General features: G+C 37.9%; 1 long non-coding RNA gene across 2 annotated transcripts in view, besides 1 other annotated feature; it reads right to left on the bottom strand.

Moving 5' to 3' along the window:
* Positions 21981–23180: an enhancer, noted in NCBI's record as "MED14-independent group 3 enhancer chr4:72519382-72520581 (GRCh37/hg19 assembly coordinates)". NCBI's record gives its function as "activates an origin of replication core promoter dependent on BRD2, BRD4, P300/CBP and CDK7 cofactors, and independent of MED14, by STARR-seq in HCT116 cells {active_cell/tissue: HCT116}" and the evidence as "EXISTENCE:reporter gene assay evidence [ECO:0000049][PMID:35650434]".
* The window catches only part of LOC105377271 (uncharacterized), a 40126-nt gene continuing 34724 nt past the window's right edge, over positions 22216–27617 (bottom strand). For both annotated transcript variants that reach the window (XR_001741717.1, XR_938866.2), the window contains one exon: positions 22216–25036. This is a non-coding gene — a long non-coding RNA (uncharacterized LOC105377271). The remainder of the gene's footprint in view (positions 25037–27617) is intronic.

Genomic DNA, 27617 nt, shown 5'->3' with positions numbered 1-27617 from the left:
CAATACTGGCAAAAGAGGCAAGTTCAAGTAGTGGATTTTGTAGGCAATTCATAATATCCCTTCCTACTTTACAAATTCCAAAAATTCCATTGCTGATCCTTAAACCCTTTAGATTAAACTTGGATTCACTTGATTCTCCCTGGCAGTGCTCATACAAGGTGGTCTTTGATTATGTATGCATCTCCATGAGGGATGTAGGATATGTCCTGGAGGTCAAGAGGAAATAAAAAGGAGAAAATGATCACCCTAGAGGGACACACAACTTGCCAAGATAATATTTGTGATTAGCTTATTGTTTGTTTTGTTTGTGTATTTTTGGTTGGTTTGTTGTTTCCTGAGTCTAGCCTTATAATTAAATATGAATTTGGCCATGAATTTGTGACTATCTGAGCATATTTTCTGCAAATATTAAGAAAATGTTATCCAATAGAATGTCCTGTTTTGTGTTGTTTCTTAATCAACTCAGGGTAAAAGTGGCATCAAAGAGATGAAACTTAAATAGTTGATCTAGATGAAATGTTTTGAACATATCAAAGTTTGTGGGAAGAAGAGAATACTATTTTTGAAGTTGCAACTGCCCTTGAAAATTAAATCCACTACATTAAGTAGGATATTGTCTTGGCTACTTTACCAAAGACCAAAACAACACTGGCCTAAATGTGATGAAAAATTGATTTTTATTTTGTATAAACATTCAAATTGATAAAGGGCAGGAAACTCTACTCAACCAAGTTGCCTAGGAAACTCTGGTTTCTTTTATCTTATTGCTCCAGCACTCGGTAGAGTCCTCTATGGGGGCAAGCAGATCCACCGCCACCAAGTCCATGATCCAGACAGCCAGGAAGGAGTAACTGGGATGAAGGAAGCAGATGCTCAATCCTTGGTAGAGCTAGTCCCAGGTGTGACACAAGAGTCATATATGCATGTCCCATTGGCCAAAGCTTAATCATATGGCCATGCCTAGATGAAGGAAAGTTAGGAATTGTACCCTCCAACCGGATGGCCATTGGTATAGCCAGAACTCTTTAACTATGGAGTAAAGGGACAATGACCATTTGGAAACAATTATAGCTCTAGAGTCAGTCTAACTGTAGGTAGAAGCATAAGACTAGCAGTGATAAATTTATGTATTAAAAATAAAAGAGAGTAGCAGTGGCTATAGTAGAAAAAACACCAGCCAAGAAATCAGAACCCTAGGTGTAGGTTGCTTTGGTATTAACTAGAAATGTGGTCCTGGGCCACTTATTTTACTTCTTCTAAACCTTGACTTCTTCAACTGTGAAACTTTGACTGAAGGATCTATAAAAAGTCATCTAAAAAGAGTAGTCTATGGCTCTAACCTTTCTAAGTAACATTGACGCATTAATATTTAAATAAGATTCCAGATTTTTACAGACTAAACTATAGAAATTATGTAAGAATAGGCTATACTATACTTCTGGCCCATTTTCTACATTATTAATATTTTATGATGATGTCTCAACAGATCAACCTTAGTCTTGTACATTTTTTTTCATGTCATCAGGCCCAAGCTATAGCAGTAGGTGTTACGATTTCTGTACTGGTTCCTTCATCTCTCATAGCATTTCCTGCACTAAGGTTCCCCTCTGGACACTATGGTCTAGGGCTGACTCTTGGATGTTCTGCATTAATGTTTTGTCCCATTTTAACCATTTTCATGTGTACAATTAGTGACATTAAGTACATTCACATTGTTATGCAACCATCACCACCATCCATCTCCAGAACTTTTCACTATCCCACACTGAAACTCTATACTCATTAAACAATAACTCCCATACCACTTTTCCCCCACTCCCTAACAAGTACCACTCTACTTTCGGTCTTTATGAATTTGACTACTCTAGGTACTTCATATAAGTGGAATCATGGAATACAGTCATATGCCACATAATGACATTTCAGCCAGTGACTGACGGTATATACTACAGTGGTCCCATAAGATTATAATACCATATTTCTATTGTATCTTTTCTATGTTTAGATATGTACAAATATACAAATAATTACCATCGTGTTACAATTCCTTACTGTATTCAGTATTAACAGGCTGTGCAGTTTTGTGGCCTAGAAGCAATAGGCTATACCATATAGCCTAGGTGTATAGTAGGCTATACCATCTAGGTTTGTGTAAATACACGTGATGAAATTTGCATAATGATGCAATCGCCTAATGCTGCATTTTGCAAAATGTATCCCCCATTATTAACACATGACCGTGTTTGTTCTTTTGTGACTGACTTATTGTACTTAGCATAATGGATTCAAGGTTCATCTATGTTGTAGCATGTGTCAGAATTTTCTTCCCTTTTTAAATTTTTTATTTTAACTTTATTTTATTTTTCATTGTAACAAAGAACCCACAGCATAAAATTTACATTTTAACCTTGTTTAAGCGTACTGTTCAGTAGTGTTAAGTAAATTCACATTGTTGTGAAACATATCTCCAGAATTATTCATCTTGTAGAACTAAAACTCTATTCTCATTAAACAACCATTTCCCTTTCCCTCCTCCCCACAGACCCTAGTAACCACAAATCTATTTTTTGTTTCTATAAATTTGATTACTTTATTTTATTTTATTTTATTTATTTATTTTGAGGTGGAGTCTCACTCTATTGCCCAGGCTGGAGTGCAATGGCGCCATCTCGGCTCACTGCAACATCTGCCTCCCGGGTTCAAGCGATTCTCCTGCCTCAGGCTCCTGAGTAGCTGGGATTACAGGTGTACACCACCATGCCTGGCTATTTTTTTGTATTTTTAGTAGAGACAGGGTTTCACCATGTTGGCCAGGCTGAAATTTGATTACTTTAGATACCTCATATAAATGGAGTCACATTATACTGGCCTTTTTGTAACTGACTAATTTCACTTAGCATATTTTCAAGATTAATCCATGTTATAGCATGTGACGGGCTTTCCTTCCTTTTTAAGGCTGAATAACATTCCATTACATGAATATACCACATTTTTCTCCATTCTTCCATTGATGAATAATTGGTTTGCTTCCACCTCTTGGCTGTTGAGAATAATGCTACAATGAATATGGGTGTGCAAATATATCTTTGAGACTCTACTTTGAATTCTTTTAGATATATATCCAGAAGTGAGATTGCTGGATCATATGGTAGTTCATGATGTCAATTTTCAGCTCAATAAAATTTTAACTGCTTCACAAAAATCTTCTACACTCAACTAATTGACAAAGTTTTTATCAAGTTTTAATGTCAGAATTCTACAATCCAAGCCAGAATGGCTAAACATTCATACAGATACTCTTAACATTAATAAAATATGATGATTGATTCTATAATAAAATATAACATTTATAGAAAGTATCATGAATGTCCAAAATGATGAAATATTATATCAACAGGAAGACCAAGGCCTGTAGTTCAGCTAAGCAGGATCAAGAATCTGGACAAAAAAGAATGACAAATGCAGGAGATCATTGCATCCAGAATCATGAATTACACAGAAGAAGCTCTTTATTATAGGGCTTAAACATTACACATTTCTTGTTGCTGGTAAAGGCATTAATGGAAGGCTTTTGCCTCTGCGTCTGTTGATGGACCTGACTGCACTGTTGTAGGTCAGCAGGACTGGAATCTGAAAGAAAGACTGAATGACTCTGAAAGAAAGCAGGGATGATCAAGGACAGGCTAGGAAGTACACGGATCAACAGAAACACTCATCTGTCTCTCATTGCATCTAACTTCATGACACAGGTGACCTGCAGAAAAAGCTGGTACCCTTTGCCAGAGCTGTACTTACCCACCTGGGCCAGAAATAGAAGAAGTGAAGGACAAGATTGAGCAGGGGGCAAAAGAGTTGTGGGCCCAACTGTCACTCAATGTCAATGATAAGCGAGAAATTACCTTTGACTTCTTCTACCACACCTCATGTCCAATTCCACAGCAAATCCTTTTAGAGATACCTGCAAAGTGTATTCAGAATCTGAATACACTCCATGCTACCACCCTAGTCAAAACCACCATTCATTATCTCTCACCTAGATTTTGCAATCGTCTCTTTAATGGTCTTTCTACTTCTTCCATGACCCCTGTACTCTCTTGTCAAAACATCAATCAAAGTGACTACGCTAAAACATAAAGTAGATTTTGCTTTTCTTCTGCTCAAAACCCATCTCTCTGTTAGGGAAAACCATAGTACTCAAAATGGACTCCCAAGTCCTGGCCCTGCTCATTTGTCTGACTTCATTTCCTTGCATTTATGCAGATACCCAACGTGTATCTGAATTTCTCTCCCCTTCACTACCTGCACTGTAGCAACCTGGGCCTCCATGCTTCTCCCGAGTCTTTGCCCTTGCAGTTTCTTTTGGTTGGACCCTTCTTCCCATGTTCATTCACATGTCTCCCTTCTCCCTTTCTTCAGATCTCCACTCAATAACAGCATCTTACTGAGGCCATCCTGACCACTCTACTTAAAATAGCAAATGACTAAGCCTCCCACCACCTGACACTCCTTATCCCCTCTCTCTACTTTATTTTTCTTCATGTCAATATTTGACGTCCTTTGCATTTTAATCATTTATTATATTTCTCCCCTCTATAGAATGTAAGCTCAATGAGGACATGAATTTAATGGATGGAGTGAAGGTCTGTTTTGTTCACTACTATGTTCTTAACATATGTAGCAATAAATGTGTGTGGAATAAATAAATGAATGAATGAATACTGGTATTATTTCATGTATTGCTATCTTCCTACAAACTTCTGGAATACTTATCTTACCCTTAAATGACTCCATATACCAGAATTGGCTACAGAAGGCTCTGGGTGAAAACTTAATGGCATTAAACTTTATAAGATGACAAATAACTGCCTAAGGTTTCTATTGATTTTTGTCTTAACTGTGGGATGAGGGATATTACATTTTCTGAGCAAAAGAAGGCCTTGAAAGGAAATTGAGAATTAGAAAAGAAGTTGTTTCTTGGTTAAAACAATCTTTCTAGTTATCTCTGCTTTTAATCTTGTCTCATGTGGTACTTTACCTCCCGTTAAAACTATTCTTGGATCAGGCATCCTCTCCCTTGTGAATGTAATCACCTCAAACATCAATGAGAAACAGAAGAAGAAAAATATGCATATTTTACTTAGAAAATTTCCAGAATTATCTTATGACCAAACAGTAATTAGATTATCCTGTTTTTAATGCTGTTTCTCAGGACAGAAAATACGGAATTGCATCATTAGTCAATTTGCCATGTACAGCATCCAGCATAGTTTGATACCCATTTACAGGTTTCATGGATTTTTTTCTGTAGTGATCACTAAGGCTATTTATTATGTTTTATATTTAATAATGTGTTGTAACTATGGCAAATAAAAGAAATAGTCCTTTTCTTGCTGGGAGACAACAATATTACGTGAAACAGAAACTAATAATAAAAATAATATATTGTTAATTGTCCAATAAGTTTACTTGGTGTGTCTACTTAACCAAAAAACATTTTTCATTATTCCTCCCGTTTATTTGATAGTTAAACTCCCTTTTAAAATCAAGAGATCTAGCATTTCTAGTAATCTAAAAGGTAATATAATTTTTTCACCCTATGCCTAAAATTTCAATATCTCCATTTATAACCTATTCTGCCTCAGAACAAACTGAATTTTATTTTTATTTTTATTTTTATTTTTTTGGGGGGGATGGAGTCTCGCTCTATCACCCAGGCTGGAGTGCAGTGGCGCAATGTCGGCTCACTGCAAGCTCCACCTCCCGGGTTCACACCATTCTCCTGCCTCAGCTTCCCGAGTAGCTGGGACTACAGATGCCCGCCACCACGCCCGGCTAATTTTTTTGTATTTTTTTAGTAGAGACAGGGTTTCATCGTGTTAGCCAGGATGGTCTCGATCTCCTGACCTCATGATCCGCCCGCCTTGGCCTCCCAAAGTGTTGGGATTACAGGCGTGAGCCACTGTGCCCAGCCAACAAACTGAATTTTAAAGCAATTTTAGTTCAAAGGATCAAAGTTAGCCCAATTGTTCTTTTAAGGGAAGAAATTCATTTTGGCTACTAACTAGGATGTAGTGTCAAAAAATACAAGTAATGTGTGAAGTGATTTTAAAATGCTAAGATTAAATGTTTACTCCTGTGATGGTTACAAGTGAAATTCAGTGACTCGGCAGGTGCAGTGACTCAAGCCTATAATCCCAACACTTTGGGAGGCCGAGGCCGGTGGATCACTTGAGGTCAGGAGTTCGAGACCAGACTGGCCAACATAGTGAAACCTCACCTCTATTCTACTAAAAATACAAAAATTAGATGGGCGTGGTGGCACACACCTGTAGTTCCTGCTACTCGAGAGGCTGAGGCAGGAGAACAATTGAGCCTGGGAGGCGGAGGTTGCAGTGAGCCAAGATCACGCCACTGCATTCCAGCCTGGGCGACAGAGCGAGACTCCATCTCCAGCAAACAAAGAACAAAAAGAAATTCAGTGACTCGATGGTCTATATATTACTGGTTAGAGATCAACTGTTCTTTAAATTTAATTTGCATGTCTAGGTACAAGTTCTATTGATAAAGCTGATTATTTAAAAAGAATTATATGGTAGCACATTCTCATTAATTATCTAATTTGGTCACAGTGTGTCCGGAATTGGTTTCTTCTGGTGGGTTCTTGGTCTTACTGACTTCAAGAATGAAGCTGCGGACCCTCGCAGTGAGTGTTACAGTTCTTAAAGACAGTTTGTCCAGAGTTTGTTCCTTCAGATGTTCAGATGTGTCCGGAGTTTCTTCCAGTGGATTCGTGGTCTTGCTTGACTTCAGGAGTGAAGCCACAGACCTTCACAGTGAGTGTTACAGCTCTTAAAGGTAATGCAGACCCAAAGAGTGAGCAGCAGCAAGATGTATTGTGAAGAACGAAAGAACAAAGCTTCCACAGCATGGAAGGGGACCTGAGTGGGTTGCCACTGCTGCGGGTGGCCAGCTTTTAGTCCCTTATTTGGCCCCACCCACGTCCTGCTGATTGGTCCGTTTTTACAGAGTGCTGATTGGTGCGTTTAAAAACCTTTAACTAGACACAGAGCACTGATTGGTGCATTTTTACAGAGTGCTGATTGGTGCGTTTACAAACCTTTAGCTAGACAGAAAAGTTCTCCAAGTCTCCACCCAACCCAGAAGCCAAGCAGGCTTCACCTCTCAACAGCATGGCTCAAAATTAATTTAATCCCAATTAACACTGTGATTTTTTAAATTTATTCAATGTTTCAGATAAACTATTTCAAACTTAGGAGTCTTAAAAGAATGTGTAAAGATAGCTTAAAATTACTCATTCATCGCTTGTTTATGCCAGCATTTATTTGAAACAATATTTATTGCCAAGTCAGGTTTTTCTCTACCTATGCAACAACATATTTTTTATTAACAGCTCCTGTCACTTAATAGATAGAATAAATATTAAATTTTAATATCATCAGAAGGAAAATAAAGTTAAGAATCTAGGACTACCAAAAAAAATGGTTTGTCCCAAAATCAAGTATACATTTTTGTTTTTGATTACCTATACTATTTCCTTTCCCCATAGATCTTCTCATTAAATATTCACTGTAATGAAATGTTACCTTTCACGGAGTTAGTTTTCATAGAGCTAGACACCTAACCCTCCAAGGATAGTCAGGAGTGGTGGTGGAGTAGAGCAGTACAACTTTGGAATCAAACTCTCTCCCTAATTCCTAGTGGGAATTTTAAAAGACATTTAAAAACTTCTAAACCTTAATTTTCTCATCTCCAAAATGAACTTCGTAATGACTTACACCCAAAAGATTTTAGCGCAATACTCTCCAAAGAATGTGGCATATGGTAGACATTCACTAAATACTGGTTTCTCTTGTGTAGTAAGCTTCTTTTAATTTTTACGATTTTAAGATTTGGGATTTTTCTAAAATTTGACATATATACTTTTCCATCAATTTTATGATTGTATCTTGATTCCAGACAGAGAGGATCTAGAGTGAGTAAAGTGAAGCACCTGGGATGCAAGATTTAAGGAGGTGTACATTCTCAGGGTCACATGATTTGAGAAAGGTCCTGAAATTTGGTTAGAGGAGAGTTTCCTGGAGTGTTTCACAAACTGTCGTCTCCTCCTTTTTCCCAGGCAGCTCATGGTTTCCAGTCCCTGCTGTGATGCCCCAATCATTTCTAATATTACCAGGCATATGCCCTGGTTCCTCAAAGTTTGATGTGCAGACCAGTAGCAGAAACATCATCTGGGCACTTGTTAGAAATGCAGAATCATAAGGCTGGGCACGGTGGCTCATACATGTAATCCCTGCAGTTTGGGTGGGCGGATCACTAGAGCCCCAGAGTTCAAGCCCAGCCTGGGCATCATAGCAAGACACCATCTCCACAAAAATATAAAAAGTAGCCAGGTGTGGTGGCATGTGCCTGTAGTCCCAGCTAGTTGGGAGGCTGAGGTGGGAAGATCACCTGAGGCTGGGGAGATCAAGGCTGCAGTGAGCTGTAATACTGCTAACAAGACTCTATCTCAAAAAGAAATATTTTGGGGTGGTATTTCCTGTTTGGGCTCAGGAAATACCACCTCAAAATATTTCTCTTTGGCATATTGATTATTTAAAGCTGGTTATTCTGAGAAACTGCAGAAATAGAAATAGCTCTGAAAAGCTGCCCTTTGTAAAATCAATTTACATCTTTGAAAAATAAATTTTTTTTAGTAAAGATATCTGTATCAGAAAGAGACCTTCTCCTTTTATCACCCAAGAGACTTTTATTTCCATATTTTTATACCATATATTTCCTCCCCTCACCCTCCTATAACTTGTCTTTACCACCTGCCAAAAGCTCCAAGCCCTTATTCCTTTTGATAGCTCAAGATGCCATAGAAGCTTCAATTATCTGACCCTTCTTCAAGTCTCATATTTTTGTGGGTCTCCTGTATAAATGTATATAATTACATATGGTTTTTCTCCTGTTAATCTTTTTCATGTCAATTTAATTCATAGACTAGCAAGAACTTGGGAGGGTAAAGAGAAGTCATTTTTTTTCTTCTCTACAAAGGCTTTTAAAAAAAAGTTGTAGCCTCATCTCAGCTATGTTACCGAAAGTTAAAGGCAAAGACCTTGGGTTTACTTTGGTCCTAGAATGTTAAAAGGAAAATGGTGCCCTAAGCTCACTTCAGAACAGGGGAAATAATGACTGAGGGTTTTTCTGAGACGTGCAAGATTTCCCTCCAAGAGCAACCTTGAAAGACTAGGGTTTTATTTTCCTTAAGAGGAGTGATTGTCCCTTTACCCTTATTACTATAATACCGGGGCTAGAATGGTGAGGGAAGGAGGGAGGGATGTAAAGAGGCTGTTCCTTGTCACCATAGCCCCCAGGGAGGAGATCACAGATCCAGGAATATTAATGACATTACCCAGAGAAAACGACATTTCAGAACACCTACTCAAAGTTTCAGAGCCATTTCTGCACATTCCAACTGCTAGCTACTCTTCAGCTATGAATCTGGATAAACAAAATCTGTAGATTTGAATAACTGATCCTTCAATCTTTATAAAATAGGTTTTTAAAAAGTGGAAAACAGTCAAAAGACTAATTCTATACAAATAAAATCTGGTTTCAGAATAAGACGCTTACTCATCCTAGGTGAATAGCTCCTTCAAGGTTAAATGGTTCCCTAAATTGAACTAACTTTTGAAAATCTTACATGTCCCTCCTGTCCTTGAAACTGTTTTGACTCAAGGGAGTATTTGATTCCTTAGGAGTGCTCCACATTTTGATTCTTGATTTGATATGAACTTAAACTAAATATTTAAACTTGACATAAATATTTAAGTTCGACCCTCAAATATTGTATGTACACAAAAGTAAAATGTTCAACCTATTAAAAGTAATTCATCTTGGGTAGTTGTAAAGATTACAGAAAATTTAAATTTTCTTTTTTGTGTACTTCTATGCATTCAAATTCTCTGTAAGTAGTATATGTTATTTTCATATAAACAAGTATATGGTTATTTTATATACAAGTAATTTCTCTGGCCAAGCCTACAGCCATCATAGATTTTGTTGCTTCCCATGACCCGGAAAGTTAAGCAATATTAATTGGTTTTTACTGTGTTTTAGATACAATCCTAGGAACTAGGATGAAATAAACAAACAAACAAAAATAACATAGCTCCTGTTCTTAAAGAACTTATGGTCTAGGAGAGACAGATATTCATTAAAACATTCCTGTTCAGCCTGTGCTATTAGTGAGGTACCATGGCGTGCTATGGAAACTCAGGGACAATGCCTATGTCAGTTTGGGTAACTTAGGGAAGTCCTGAGGAACAAATTTGAGCAGAAAGGCAAGGACTGGACATTCCAGACAAAGAGAAGAAAGAGCATGAAAAACACCTTCACTGTCTAATTTTTCAGCCAGCCTGATTTTAAAGCACATTATCCTCATTAACTGGTTAGTCCATGTCAAATCTCTGAGAGTTATTTCTGTTAACAGTAAATTTGGTTGATTAGATTTTGATGTTAATGAGAACCTTGTGCTAATTTGACGGCTTACCAAAAGAATGTGCACAGAGAAACTAGGGTAAAGAACCCTAGAATACTTTAATCCTAGCCCATAACGGCATTCCAAGACAGGTAGTCATAAGAATTTATTCAACAGCTAATTATGGCAATTTATTCTCCACAGGTCCTGAGAGCAAGATTTTGGGGGGCTTCCTAAGGAAGGTAATTTGTTTTATGCAGCCTGTCCCTTCCCAAACACACACAACACACACAGCCATACCCTCTCCCCATTACCAATATCACCCAACATACACATGCAACATTAACTTCATAGGAAGCAATAGAAGGAAAATTAACTAGTCAACACCAACCAACTTTCCAAACAACTCAAAATTGTACCCCATTATCTATCGGTAGAATAGCTTTGGTTACCCCTTTCTTTATTCATTTATTGAGCAAACACCTACCAGGTGCTAGGGATGCAAATCTGACTGAAACATGGTGTTTGCTCTCAAGAAGGTGCAAATCAAAGAGCATGTGGCACAGTACAAGTGCAGTGATAGATGGACAGAGTGGTCAGAGAGTGTTAGGAGCACACATAAAGTGCATTAAGTCATCCCAGGAGGGGATTATCCTGAAAAGTGGTCTGGTTCTCTTGGAAACTGCAAAGAACTACAAATAGCTCAGTATGGCTGGAGCAAAGGGCGAATGTGAAGGAGTAGCAGACAATAAAGCTGAAATTACAGGAAGAAATGGGGTCATGAAAGGCTGTATGTACTAAATGAAAGAGTTTGAACTTTATCCTTGAAAGCTGTGGGGAGCTATTTAAGGACTTTAAACAAGAAAATGGCGTGATTTAAAAAATCAATATCACAGCAGCGTGGAGAACAGATTGGAATGGGCCCATACTAGGAGGAGGAGATATAGTTAGGGGGCGATTGCAGGAATCTAGAGCCTTTAATGAGTTCAAATTAGGGTGGTTGCTGTGAAAACAAGCAGGAGGGGAAGAATTTAAGAGATAGTGAGGAACAAGATCTTCACAACTAAGGGTTACCAAGGATACCTCCTCCAGCTTCCAGCTCTGAGATGTTCAGTGTATGGGGAGAAAAATCACCAGGAAAGTACTAATCTCAGAGCAGTTTTCAGTTGGAGTAAGGTGGAAGGAATGTTCATACAAGGCAGTGAAGATGTAAGGTAGTTTGTTGGTGATAGCCTATGAGTTCTGGAGGGCACAAGGGGAAGTTCTGAAAGATCAGATGGGCTGCTTGATGGATCAGGTTGAGAGAGATGCAGAGCAATTTGGAAATTAGCATTCAAATAAAGACAGGTTATCTGGAAGTCTTGAACAGGGACATGGGCTTGATGTGTCAACCTCTAATGCTTGCAGTATGTGATACAGTCATGTTAATCTAACTTACTTGACCATGACATTTTTTTTACTTCATAGTGTATTCCTAGAACATCAAAAGGAGTTCATAAAGTATGATGAGCTCTTTGATTAAAGTAGGTAATATTGGGGCTCAGAACACAATAACCTAGAGTACAACACCCCCGCATGCTGAGCATTTTGAACTGAAGGACCTTAGTAGCAATGTCTTTCTGACCTTCTCCCACCCTCCTGTCTCTTGCCGCTTTTTTCCCCCTGAAGTGATTCACAGAAACCAGAATTCCTCTCCCCTAATGTAGGTCATAGAAAGTAGAACTCCTCTTCCCCAAGGCAGGCCGTAAAACCTAGAAAGGTCACTGTCTGACCTTCTCCCTTCTCCTTACTAACCCTTATGTGACAAGTGCCCTGTCTAAACACAGAGGAAAGGAATGCCACACACAGAGGCCAAGAAGAATCTGAACAGACAGTCCCTCCTGGGTTTCCCCACTCAGTCTCTTACCATTAGACGATACCCTTTTGTCCAATCACATTTCTACATGGCTGTTCATTCTTCATTGAACCTAAGCATAAAAACACACAGTTTTCCTTGCGTCTTTGAGTCTTCATTTATGAAGGCTTCCATGTCATGTGAAACTTGGATTAAATAAATTGGCTGTGCTTTTCTCTTGTTGTTTTTTTACAAAAGTGTTCCTTGTGATGCATGAAAAAAACATATCCCACTTTTCTGCCCCTACAGTAGGCAAAAAATGGTCTTTAGGATAAATTATTTGCTTCAGGAAATTATCAAAAAACTTGTATTTGTGTCATTTTAGTGCTTAATAGTGAACACATTAGAGGGATCAAATATGTTGTTTTATTGAAAAGAGAAAACACAAAGGAAATGATCGAGATGGAGGTCCAGCCCAGCACACAGCCCCTCCTACTCCATGCCCAGAGGCTTCCCCTCACGCCATCCAGTCCAGACTAAGTAATTTTTGACCACACAGTGTTCCAGACCCCTCCCTGATTGGCATCATCCTTTTAGTTTACTCAAAGGAAACTGAAACTAGAAAGGCAGGTTTAAATTTAGACTGAGTGGATTTCTTGAGGTTTTGCACCTGAAGATGGTGGTGAAATTCAACCTCCAGCTCCAATTCCTGGTCTGAATACTGCCTCTCTCTTCCCATCCTTAGCTCCATCCAAATCACCAGGGCAGCAACCTGGTTCTTTTCCAAAAAAAAAAAAAAAAAAAAAAAAAAATGTACAATCAGGGCCTAGAAGTGGGCTCGTGGGCTCAGCTGTGTTTGGGTGGAGAATTCTAGAGCCAATATATCCAAAACGCAGTTTAGATGTCAGGTGCTGGAAGGCAAAGGGATGAGAGGTTGGGGTGAAGTATAATGGATAGAGACAGGGGTTTTACTCAGCACATCCTGTTGGCCACACAGACTCCTCAATCCTAGGAAAGGACCACAGCTAGAGGAGGGCCAGAGTGAGGTCTGCTAAAGCACAGGGCTCAGAGCAGGAGCCTCTTGCCTAGGTCTAAGTGTGGAGGGGCACTCAGAAGTGAGAAAGAGCAAAGTTACTTCCTAACCATATACAGAATTCACCGTCAAGCCATAAAACAGCACAGTCATAATTTCCAACACCACATCTTGAAGCTTCCGTGGCCCATCTTTCAGTTATATATTTTTCTGTAAATAAAGATAACAGTTCAGTTCTCTGGATCAGTCTGAGCCCCAGTGGAAAGCAAAAGGAAGGCACACTCAGCCCTGAGAAATAAAAGTGAAATTTTAAGCCTCACAATTGACTGAACAGAGCCCCTCTTGGCCAAGAGGACCCCAGAGTAAGCTTGAAAACTGAGTTCTCGACCAAGAAGAGATGGGGCATCAGACACGTCTCCTTATAACCCCCTCCCTCGCTAATTGCCAAGACACTTTCTTCACTAAGGGCTAAATCAAAACCAGCTCTTTGAAAAGACTACACACTGATATCAACAATTGCCTGATGATGCCCCTCCATTTTGCAGTTTCAACAAAGCAACTACCAGCGGCCGGGCATGGTGGCTCATGCCTGTAATCTCAGCACTTTGGGAGGCCAAGAAGGGTGGATCACCTGAGATTAGGAGTTCCAGAGCACCCTGGCCAACATGGCGAAACCCCGCCTCCTAAAAATACTAAAATTTAGCCGGGCGTGATGGTGCGCATCTGTAGTCCCAGCTACTCAGGAGGCTGAGGTAGGAAAATCGCTTGAACCTGGGAGGCGGAGGTTGCAGTGAGCAGAGATCACACCACCTCACTCCAGTCTGGGCAACAGAGCAAGACTCTGTCTAATTAAAAAAAAAAAAAGCTGGGCACGGTGGGGCTCACACCTGTAATTCCAGCACTTTCAGAGGCCGAGGCAGGGGGATCACCTGAGGTCAGGAGTTTGAGACCAGCCAGGCCAACATGGCAAAACCCCATCTCTATTAAAAATTTAAAAACTTAGCAGGGTGTGGTGGCACGCTCCTTTAGTCCCAGCTACTTGGGAGGCTGAGGCAGGAGAATTGCTTGAACCTGGAGGCAGAGGTTGCAGTGAGCCCTTCACTCCAGGCTGGGCAACAGAGTGAGACTCCATCTCAAAAAAAAAAAAAAAAAAAAAACTACCAGCGTTTCTTCCTCATAAGAGATTACTGGCCATGGAGTGTTTTCTGGCAAGTCCACAGTGGATGCATAGTGAGGGTTTTCATGTCCTCTGCTTCACCTTTTGATGACAGAGGACTGAAAACTCTAACCTCACATCATGCTAACACGCTGCCTTTTTTTGAACATGGGTCCTACGGAGAGGCATGAATCTCAATTGCACACACGCACATTTCTCCGCTCATAAATATTTACGACTCTTCCTATAGCGTATTAAATATGTATCTTTGGCCACCTTGCTCAGCATAAATTCCTGTTCCCTTTGCCCCTCCGTTGAAGTGTATGTTTCCAGCTTCTGGCCAGAGGCTGTGCTTTCTAGCCTGTGAGATTGGCCACCCAGCAAGCTGCAGCCCTTTATGAGAAATAAAGCTCTCCTGTCCAAATTTAAGAAACTCATCATTCTTCAGTTGACAGCCCAAAGGCTTAAAAGAATTTAGGGAAGGGACTATTTCTGAAGGGGTCGGTAGGTTAAGGGAACCTATAGAAAATGTGGATGCACTCAGGGTTTAGAAAAAGGAGGGAGCCGTTACCACCCCAGCCTGAAGGGATAAGGAGAGGAACTGATGGTGTTTGAGTCCAGTGACAGTAGCCAAGTAGGATCTATAGTTTTAAGGCACAAAGACAGGAAAGGAGCAGGTGAAGAAAAACCCCAGCCCCTTTTTCCTTAGGTCCTCTGACTCTCTGAACCCACTCAGAAGCCAGAGGGATAGTGGACCCAGGAATTGTAAGTAATAAGGTCACTCCACCAAAAGTACTCACAAAAAGCAGAGCAGAGAAGGCAAGAGAATAAATCATGAATCTGGGAAGGGGAAAAAGGGAGAAAAATCAAGCTCCCTTTTATAATTAGCTTGCTCTCTAACATCTCTAGGAATGTGGACGCAGCACAGTCAAATCCTAGTCAAAAGAAGCACCAAACATTCACAGAGTGAAGAAGCGCCCTTCAGTCCTGTAATTGACTCTTCTGTTTTTAAAATTAAGTTTAATCGTTGATTATCTTTTTTTCTTTTTCTTTTTTTTTCTAGAAGCAGGATTCATATAATATTGACCTGCCCAGTGGGAAAGACCTTCAATAAATTAGTCACAAAATTTTGTATTGGCCTTTGTCTGAAAAGGAAATGTATCTAAATACCAAATGAGTCCCCAGGAATTTTCTAAAAACATCAGGTAAGTGTTTGCTGCCATTTCCGGAGGGAAATTTTTCCATAAATATAAACTAACTTTACTCCCAAATTGTATTCTGACTTCTCTTTTAAGTAACTAGAGTATAATTAAATGTCTTGAAGTTCAGATTTAGGGAAAATACAAAATACTCTCTTAATTCTGACTTTTTGTTGCTGTTGTTGTACAGCGAAGTTGACAATATGCTGCCTATTCTTTCCAAAGGCATTGAAAGCTGTAGTCAAACTCTGTCCAAACTTTCTTTTAATTATCTCATGAGGTACTTTGGTAAACAAGATGAAAATAATGTGTCCTAATGTAACTTTGATGATTTTCTTTCTAATTTATCTTTACAGAAATCTTCTAATTACCCACTCCCTTGCCTCAGTTGGCTGAAATTTTAGTAGAGGCAGAATCTTCTGTCTTCTAGAACTTTTGCTCCACAGCCAGAAAATTTCCCACCACCCTCTCCATTTTTAATGGCGATGCCTTCTATTTCCTTGCCTTAGCTCTGTAAACTAAAAATAAAATCCTAAGCCCTGCAACCAACTGAATGAACCCCCATTTTATGCATTTAGAAAGTGTTAGAAATTAAGATGGTATATTAATAAAAGCCAGTGTAATTCAGTGGAGATAAAGGATGCTGGGGCATCAGAAAGGATTTTTATGAAAGTAAAGTAGGCATTAAAGTAGGCTTTGAAGAATGAAAGGAGTAAACATGCAGTGACAGAGGTACCTCGATACCTCAAGTGCATGAAAGTGCAAAAGCAAAGGCCTTGAGATAGGAATGCATGTAACATAATTAAATAATTGCATGTTTAGAACACATAGCACCTACAATGCAATAGACAGAGAGAAAACTCATAATGAGTTTATTTGGCAGTGGCTAGCTGGTTTGCATGTAACATGATTAAGGTTGGGCTTCGGCTCTACCAATTTGGCAGCAATGCATGGTATGCATTGGAGGGAAAGAGCTCTCGCATGGAGGGAAAACCATGAGAAAATTCTTAGAATGTTTGTAAAGACATGACAATTGCTTGAACTTGGCAATTAGTTGGCTGTGGAGAGTTAAATTGAGAAAAGCAACAAAGATGTTTGGGATTTTTTTTAGCTTAATAAATTTGGAAAAGAGTAGTATGATCAGCAGAAACCACAACATGGGAAGAAGAAAAAACTTAGAGAAAAAGATTAGCTAGTTTTAGATTTTTTTTTAATATACCTCAGCATGAACATATCTGACAAGTAGGGAGCTTGCAAGTGGGACCAAGGCTGAGGACAGATATTGACTCATCTACTCAAGAACGATTTATTACTAACCTCTTCAGGAATCATGGTCATCTTGTCGCCATTGTATGTCTAGCATCTAGCAGATTCCTGATTTACAGCAGCCTCTTGATACAGACTTATTGAATGAATGCTAGGCAGTGGGCTTACAATGGTGAAGGAGATACAGACCATGCTTTCGGTAAGTTCAGTCTAGATTTGAGAGTTATCATGGTAGAAGTTATGACTGAAGCTATAAGAAAAAACACAATTGCCTAGATTTCTTTGCCCAGCCACTAACTTTTCCCCCAAAACAAAACAAAATCATAGTAAATAAGAACAAATGGGCTAGGTGTGGTGGCTCACACCAGTAATCCCAGCACTTTGGGAGTCCCAGGCGGGCAGATCACAAGGTCAGGAGTTTGAGACCAGCCTGGCCAATATGGTGAAACCCCATTTCTACAAGAAATATAAAAATTAGCCAGGTGTGGTGGCAGGTGCCTTTAGTCCCAGCTACTCAGGAGGCTGAGGCAGGAGAATCGCTTTAACCCGGGAGGCAGAGGTTGCAGTGAGCTGAGATAGCGTCACTGAACTCCCGCCCAGATGACAGAGCAAGACTCCATCTCAAAAAAAAAAAAAAAAAAAAAAAAAAAAAGAACAAATGGGGTTGGGGGGAGAAGAAAAAGGGGAGCCATAGAATAAATAATTATAGAAAAGAAAGAAAACAAAGTAACCAAATTTCATAGAAACCAAGGTAAGAGAAAATTTCCCTAATGACATAGAGGTAAAGTGTATCCGAATTTCAAATAGGATGAAAATACAAACAAGTAATTTGATTTGGCAACATCAGGTCTATGATGCTTTTTAGGAGTTAAACAGTCGGGGCAGAAACCATATAGCAAGAACTTAAGAAAACTGGAGGCGCTGTAGGAGCAAAAGCAATGAATGCAGTATAAACTTTTTAAAAAGGGTGACAGAAATTGGAAAAGAAAAAACAATACAGTAATTCTGGAGATTCTTAATTACTGAATTAAAGTAACTCATAATTATGTACGACTGACTAATATTATTCTTTGGTTGGTCCCTGTTTAGTTATTTCACAATCTACGTCAGCTAAATCTCTGCTCCTAATCATGTTACTTTCTCAAAAATGTTCCTTGGTCATCACCTCTTAAACTTGCCTTAGACTTGTTTATTTGCTCCAGCTCGAGTGCCAAACTTATGCTTTAAGGCATTATCTTCTAGGCCCCTTCCTTATAATATATGTATTCTATGCTCCAAGCGAATTAATAGCTTTTTATCTACTCCTTTCAAAAAAAAATCTTTCTGACTTCAATAACTTTGTTCATATACTTCTCTCCAATTATACTTCATTGTTCCTGCAACCTTGCCTTCCACATAAGTCGACTAATCCTTGGAAGCCTCTATTAGTCTCCTTGACCCCTGTCTTTCTCTCTCTTGAGCAGAAAGAAGCAATACCAAAATAGTGAAATACAGAGGCAAATAGCTATAGAAACAGCAAGATTTTTAAAAATTTTAAAATAAACATATAATCTGAACAACTCTATGCTAAAAATAATAATAACCTAGATTAAAGGGATATATTTATTGACAAAATATAAAATGCCAAAATTGGTACAAGAAAATATAAATATCTTTAATAGACAAGTAATATAGAATTGGAAATCTTAGACCCAGAGAGTTTCAGGTAAGGTTTACAAAACTCTCAAGGAACACATAACTCTATATTTTACTAGCTGTTCCATAATTTTGAACATGGTTGGGGAGGAGGTTGCCTAACAGATTTTAGGATGCTAAGATAGCCTTGAGCCCAAAATTTGTTAAGGCTTGTCCAAGAAAAGAAAATTACAGGGCCATTTCACTTATAAACATAGATGCCAACATTCTAAGTAGAATATTAGCCTACCAAATCCAGTAAGAGCATTTGAAAATGATTGATTAAGGTTTTTTCCAGTATTGCAAAAATAATTAAACAACAGAAAATCAATGGATGCAAACTGAATAATCATGCGATTTCTCCAATGATACAGAAAAATATTTGACAAAGTTTAATGCCTATTTGTTATTTAAAAGCTAAAACAAAGTGAAGCATTTCCTGAGCCTAGGAATAGAAAACTTGAAATTCTATAAGGTTTGTATACCAAAATTCTATACCAACATAAACAACTATCTGTTGGTGCTATTAAAACAAATCAGACAGTGTTATCGAATCAGTTTGAAAAATCTAAAACATTCCTCTACACTGGCAAAATCAACTACAAAATAAAGATCCATTCACAATATCAATATGAACTGGAACTAACCTTATATGGAATGCCCAAGAACCTTATGAAGCAGGTATTTCATGTTCATTGTTAGATAATTTAGCATCTATAATTTTAATGTCATCTCAACTGAAACTCCAATCGAAATTTTTGCCACTCTTCTGAGATTGTTCAAATTCTTCCTTTTGCATCACAATTGTATGTGTCCTTATTCCCCCTCCTAAACCTCCCATTCCTATCCTCCTAATGATTACTTATTCATCATTAGGAAGATAGCAATCTCTTTTCCATTTTTTAAATTCCTCAGAACACCTAACACAATGCCTTTTATGATAGATGCTTAAAGAAATACATATTGAAGAAAGAAGGAAAGAGATTTTGAAGTTATATTTTTCATTTTCCATGAATTTGTCCAAGGAAGAGTTCTTATTCTTAAAATAGATGAATAAAGTGACTTATCGATTTTGAAGAGCTTCTCAATTTCTTTTCTTTTTCTATAATTTTTAATGTTATAATCAATTATACCTTAAGCTGGTTAAAACACTAATAAATATTTGGCATATGTAGAACACATATCACTGAATTTTAAAAGAATTATTTCACTGTTTCACATTAATTTCTAATCCAGTTTACATTTGTATTCTCATACACCAGCTATTTTCTTGTAATACAAGCTTTTGAGAAATGTATCAGCTTTTGAGAAATGTATCATTTAAAAAATTGTATACATTTCTATTCCTCCTCCTTTTCACACACACAAAAAATCACACACCTTTATTTTGTTTCTAAATTACTTATCAGTGTCTGTTTAAGTAGTGTTTGACACAGGCAATGCATCTGACAAATTACTAGTTTGTGCAAAGTCCAAATATCTCCTTAACAGAAATAGAATCAGGATATTCACCAAAATTATTAAGTGATATGAAGATGGTATCTATTCTATGAAAATCTGAAATTCTCAGGACATATATGAGCTCATACACTAATCAAATATAAGAACCCAAAATCGGTCTTATGAGGACAGAGGAAGTTTAAGTGACTTTCTTACTGTCACAAGGAAGTTGGTGAAAGAAAAGACACCAGACTCAATCAATCAATCAGTTATTTATTAACTGCACATACCTTTTGTTCTTATCATTTATACAATTATTTATGGTAGGATAAATTTGAACAGAGTCATATGGAAGAGTCAGACCTGCACAAAACTATGAGGTCAGTAATATTTTCCTTTCTTTCACAAATTTCTCTTCAGTGAAATATCAGTTCCCCACTTTTTGGATCCGTTACCTTGGGACCATTACTTAACCTCTGAGAGCTTGTTATACTGTGTATTGGAGATAATGCCTATTCATAAAGCTGTGGATGTGAGTCTTTGTCTAGTGGCCAAACCATAGCTGATGAAAAACATTTTTTCTTCCTTGCTTTCTTAAGACAATATGGTTTCCTAGTCTGTAATAACCTGTTACATCAAAGAAGCAAAAAATTTCAAGACCCTGACCCAAACGACAGATGAATAAAACGTACACTGACACACAGATATTCTGTTTTGCCAGTTTTGCTGAGTGTCCGACTGCCTACACACCAAGAGAGGCTTGTCACTGCTGCCTGCCCCATCAGGTCGGGAGGCTTGCATTTATTCATTAAGATTAGTTAACAAAAGCTTGAGTGTAATTGACATTGTGGACTTCCCGAGTAAAAAGCACACATCAAAGGCTCATCTTAAGACCATATGAGTAAACAAGCTTAACTATGTAACTTCCTCACCTCCCATTGTTTACTACTCTAATCTATTTAACTAAAGGTAATGGGTCCATTACCGAAGTCATGTGAAAACAGCCTTCCAAAACGATTTTGTGGCTGTCATAACTAATATTTTTCCCTAATATTTCTGCCACTATCCTGAGTGAATCCCAATACTCAACCTAGCTTATTCTTTGGCAAAACTAATTTGCACCATCTTTAAAAAAGCTTTTGAAGTTATTTTGTAATTATAAATATTTTAAATATACAAAAATAAATTATACATAATATAAAAAACGTAAATATTTTATAAATATAAATATTTTTATAAAATGAAAATTATGTTTGACTATATAAAATAAATATTGGGTGGGTCATTTACGTAAATCCATACTTTATGATGTATATCATACTGAAAAATAATTATTTATATGTATCCTAAAATTTGACACATTGATTTTTTTACAAATGCATTATAATCAAAAAGGAAGGTATTATATAGAGAACACTAGAGTAGAAGTCAGGAAACCTTGCTTCTAACTCTGGCTCTGCCATTATTCAATCATATCTTTTAGGATAAATCACGTAATCTCCCTGACTTTCGTTTTCCTCATGTGTAAACTCAAGGGGCAGAAGCAGGTGATTTCTGATCCTTCAGCCCAGGAAAGGCTTTTTTTGATGCTTTTACAGATGCTCAGCCTTCCTAAGGTTTTCTCCTATCTCACATACTTTTAATTTACTCAAAGCCACCAAGGATCTTACCACTTTGCAGATATTTGCTCTTGGAAATGGGAGACATAGCCTAAAAATAAATCATCAAAGAGTATGAAAGGATTTGATTTAGGGTTACACAAATGCTCAGATATAAGAGTGATCTTCAAAAAGTTCATGGAGGCCGCGCACGGTGGCTCAGGCCTATAATCCCAGCACTTTGGGAGGCTGAGGTGGGTGGATCACGAGGTCAGGAGATCGAGACCATCCTGGCTAACATGGTGAAACCCCGCCTCTACTAAAAATACAAAAAATTAGCCAGGCGAGGTGGTGGATGCCTGTAGTCCCAGCTACTCGGGAGGCTGAGGCAGGAGAACAGCATGAACATGGGAGGCGGAGCTTGCAGTGAGCCAAGATCGTGCCACTGCACTCCAGCCTGGGAGACAGAGCGAGACTCCGTCTCAAAAAAAAAAAAAAAAAAAAGTTCATGGAAAATGCATATTATGAAAAAACTATGCAGAAATTTCAATTTTTCTGCACCAAAATAAACTTGTACTAACTTGTTGTAACATGTTTGAACAGGATCTAGTCTGAAGCAATAAGAAGGATAAGACCTCAGTTTGAAAACAGACCCTATCAGAACAACAGGAATTCTGCTAATATTGAAACCAGAACAAACACCAAATTTATGGTGAAGCTTGGGTGGAAGAATGGTGATATCACTGATCCTTTACAAAAAGTTTATGAGGACAAGGCCCCAAAGAAATCAGCAGATTACAAATGGGTATCTTGTTTTAGGAAGAAAGGAGATGATGTTGAAGATGAAGCCTGCAGAGGCAGACTATCCACATCAATTTTGAGGGAAAAAATCATCTTGTTTGCCTCCTAATTAAACAGAACCAATGATTAGCAGCAGAAACAATATCCAACACTGTAGACATCTCGATTGTTTCAGCTCACACAATTGTGACTGAAAATTTAAAGGAGCAAACTTTTCACACTTGATCGGTGACAAAACCATTGCACCCAGATCAATTGCAGGCAAGAGCAGAGTTTTCAATGAAATTTTAAGTAAGTAGGATCAAGATTCTGAAGCATTTATTCAAAGAATTGTAGCAGGAAATGGAACATGGTTTTATCAATATGATCCTGAAAACAAAGCACGATCAAAGCAATGGCTACAAAGAGGTGGAAGTGGTTTAGTCAAAGCAAAAGTGGACTGGTCAAGAGCAAGGTCATGGCAACAGTTTTTTGGTATGCTCAAGGCATTTTGCTTGTTTACTCTCTGGAGGGCTAAAAAATGATAACATCTGCTTATTATGAGAGTGTTTTCAGAAAGTTAGCTGAAGCTTTAGCAGAAAAATACCCAGGAAAGCCTCACCAGTGAGTCCTTCTCCACCGTGGCAATTCTCCTTTTCATTTCTCTCATCAAGCAAGGACAATTTTGCAAGAGTTTTGATGCGAAATTGCTGAGCATCCACCTTACAGTCCTGATTTGGCTTCTTCTGAAGTTCTTTTTGTTTTCTGATCTTAAAATATCTGTAAAAGACTCCCATTTTTCTTCAGTAAAAAAATAAAAAATAAAACAAAACACCGACATGGTTAAATTCTCATGGTCTCAGTTCTTTAGGAATAGACTAAATGGCTGGTGTCATCACTTTTAAAAGTGTCTTGAACTTGATGAAGCTTATGTTAAGAAATAAAGTTTATATTTTTTATTTTTATCTTTTTATTCCTTTTTTTCCACAAACTTTTTGAAGTTTCCTCATATGTGGAGTTATACTAGCCTCTTATCTCATCTGAATTGTTAGAATATCATAGCATTTTCCCTCAAAATGTGTCAGAGAGAAGTAAAAGCAATATGAAAGGTAAGAGTAATTACTTTTTGCATGTGGTGAATAGAAAATGCTAAGCCAATCATCAGGGCTGATAGTAGACAAAATTACAGCACTACACCTTCAACTTTCAAAAAATGAACATAATAAATGATAAGATATTTGAGATATCCTAAATACTTTTCATCCCCTGAGCATAGTATTCTCTGAAGCCATATTTGCCTGCTACTAATCCAACTACAGTTATCTGAAGGGAACACTCACTACTGATTTCATTTATGTATATACTGCCTCATCTATTTAAAAGCAATTTTTTAAAATTGTACACTGGTTTCCAACCCTTTTTACCTACTCAAGGAAATTGCTATAGCAATTCTTCCCTAGTCCACATAAATACTTCCTCTTGTTTGAATATGTCCCATCTACATTTTTAAAATGCTCTAGTTTCTCCCATGGAAAAATAAATAAATTCCTCTTGAACTCTAATCCCCTTTAGCTACTGCTTCTCTTTTACTTAACAGAAACATTTTTTAAAAGAGTTGCTTATATATTCTATATACAATTATTCTCTTCCATTTTGTCTTTAACTCTACCCAATCAAGCTTTTGCCACCACTATTTTACCTAAATAGCTCTTGTCAAGGTCAACAATGCTGCTAAATCCAACAGTCAAGTCTTAGTCCTGATTTTAGTTGATATCTCAACAGCAAGTTACATAGATGATCACTTCCTCTTCATGGAAACAGTTTCTTCCATTGACTTCCAGGATAATTGTAATAATAAAAATAATAATGACCAATACAAACTAGTACAGTTTCATTTTGAAGTTCACCTGCATCTACCATGATTCATCAACCAGGTTTTTCATAAAGGCTATATAGTTCAATTCAACTTTGATATCATGAAGACTACTACCCCTGCATCTTTTTAGTCTTTGATACAGTTCCTGCAATTCCTCCTGGGATAGAGTACTCTATTACTACTTCTTATTTACCATATTAACCAAAATATAAGGGAGAGGTAGGGGAAGGCAATTTCAGAGGTTTCCATTTGGCTTTTTCTAACAAGGTGGCTCTTACTCCACAAATGTGGAACCAAAATGATGATTCTGCTAGTTGCTGATGTTGCTGCCATGATTCTGTACTCAGGAACTGAAAACATGACCAAGAATGGGTTGTGGGTTGGATCTACTCTAGACCTGCTATGAGTTGAACTTGGACCAGGACTCCATGTGTTTCATGGCCTTTATATTTAGCAATTCTAACAAGGATGCCATGAGAGAATTTTACAGCCTCTAGTATCACTATTGGCTTACCCTCTTATAAAGTAATCCTCACAAGATCTGAGCATACCCAGCCCCAGGGTACAGAGTATTGGTAAATGGCTATAGAGCCCCTGAGTGATGAAATGGTAAACGCCTTCTGGAAATGCATGTTGTAGTATTGTATAGCCCTTCTTCAAGGGGATCAGCCTCCTCTTCAGTCAATAGGCTTCATGTCTGCAAAATGAGTAAGAGTGAATTTTTTTGTTGCAAGAAAAAACTTGATTTCAACCCTCTACTTGCAAGCTCTTAATATTATTTAGTTATGTAATTCAAGCAATACTTTAATTGGCTGCCCATCTCTCTTGTCCCTAAGAAATCATGGTTTATAAGCCATTGCTACAGATCCCTATAAGTATAGGCTCCCTGGTGCCTATCCAACTGTGTTGGCAATTAATTATAATCACCCTGCTTCGAGTGGTTAAGTGTCACCACTGGGCCTCTTCTATTAAAATCCTATTATCATCACTGACATTAGGCAGTTAGTACCACAGTAGCAACTTTTATCATCAACTTGCTTACAAACACAGCTATCGCTGAGCTTCTCAGGGATGCCAGTGGCCCTCTCACTAGTGTGCTGTTCATTGCTTTAGTGTAGGAAGTGTCCTCTATGCCCTACAAGAGAACATAGTCAGCTGTTTTCTGTAATATGTTTATTCTAGCATGATGATTCCTCTGGGACTTCTGATCTTTTGCTTCATTATCTACTATGGCAGTTCAAGCATCTCTACCTCATTTACTATGTCATTGTTATCACCATCATTTCAAGGAGTTACACTGGTGGTATATTAAGACCAGATCCCAGCATTATTGCCAGTATGTTAAACCCTGAGTTATGAGAAAATACCTCTATAGCAATAAACTCTTCCCTATCTAATCATGTGTTTTACCCCTGCCCCTATTCTACACTATTCCCACACATGCTCTTTCCATTCCTGTTGGTATTAACCATGTGTTACAACTCTTTAATTAGTAATACACTCCCACCAATAGCAGAGACTATACATCCCTGTTTTTTTTCATGCTAAAACTTGACCCTAGTTATTAGCCTAGAAATAATGAGAAAATGTGTAGGCAGATCTTAAGGAGGGCAAGCATCATCTTGAAGGGCCTCAAGTGAAGAAGCTTCCAGGCAATGGAAGCTGCTAGCCAGAGAGAGAAGGTTGTTTCTGCAAACCTTGAGGGTTTCCAGAAACCTGGTAATAGCAATGCTACAACATGCTGGTATTGTTACCACCCCAGTTAACATCAGCAATGGGATCTTTATTTTGTCTGGCCAGAGAATGATCAGATTTCAGACTCTCATACTAAGGGCTTGCTTTCTATGACCACCTCTGGTACCAACTGCTTTAGACTAGGTTTTCTGAATCAAGGATTTGGATGCAACTAATTTCCTTAGAAAGCAACTCCAGGAAGCATGTTAAGGGATTGGGAAATAGTGAAAGGAAATGGAGGAAAGCCAATAAACAGAATGTTAAAGAACAAGTTATCACAGCAGGCAACAGATATCCTCTAAGAAACTGTAGAACTCAGCATGGAATTGTCCCATCAAGGGGCAAGGAAGTTGAGATAATTTATCAACAAACTCCTGACCTTCATTGTTGGTTGCTCTGAGAGCAGTTAACACTCTTCCCCCAGTCAGGCCTAACCCAGGCACAGACCAAGCATCCTCCCTCAGCTAGTTAATCAAAAATAATTGGTTTCTACGGTCCATGGAAATGCTAAGGCAAATCCAGGTGGGCCAAGAAAATGTGGACAGGGTACTAACAGCATCTGCTACTCTACCATTTACCAAGAACCTAACTCTCCTGTCTCAAATAGAAGGCATCAGTTATATTTTTAAGTCCACATAAAAATAAACCTATAAGTGTTTCTTTTTTATACAATTATCCAAGTCCCACCTAAAAATATTTTGTTCTACCAGTTCTATGGATTCTACAGATTGGTAAAAGATGTGATGAGCAAACACTAAAGAACTATTATGTATCGGTAATATATACATAATAACTGTGCGAATAAGATGATGAATTTAAAGGAAGAAAGATCATATGTAGGGAAACCATATGGGAGACTACTATAATATCCATAGCATTAACTAAGGCAGTAACTGTGAGTGGAATGGAGAGTGATAGTTTTGAAAGACATTAATGAATGAAATTTATAGGACTAATTGATAGAAAATGAGGATTAGAGGAGTGAAGGAATTAAAATATAATTAATATATTTCCCTTCTTTTAGATATGCAAGTTAAGTACTTAACAGCAATCAAGTGGAGAGAAATTATCGATGTCAGAAATATCTAGTAGAAATCCTTCACACTGAAGTTCAAACTAATGCCACAGGTGATTTAGATACTTTCCAAAGTTTAAGAACCTCTGTTTTATATGATACTACTGGAATCCCTTCTCAAAAGATTTGAGTGTCATTAATTGGCCCATAGGTAACAATTCCCAGAATATCATCTATTTTAGGTGTTCAAAGTTTTTTATGGAAATTTGTAATATCATATTAGCAGGAACCAAGAAGTTTAACTACACAGCTGTCAGACTTCCAGTTACTGCCTTGGCAAAAAGTCAAGTGATATTTTAATCATTGTCAGACACCATTCTTAGCAAGAAAAACTTTCCAGGAAAAGAAGGTAAACTGAGAGAAGAATTGCATAACTCTAATCCAAGTACCAAAATATAAATATCTCCTATTCTGTTTCCAGTAAGCACTGAATGAATATCAATTGAGGCAGCTCCAGAATGATGCAAGA

This window comes from Homo sapiens, chromosome 4 (assembly GCF_000001405.40).
Source record: "Homo sapiens chromosome 4, GRCh38.p14 Primary Assembly".
Lineage (NCBI taxonomy): Eukaryota > Metazoa > Chordata > Mammalia > Primates > Hominidae > Homo > Homo sapiens.
The sequence above is the reverse complement of the archived record's forward strand: the minus strand, read 5'-3'. Positions and strand labels throughout refer to the sequence as shown.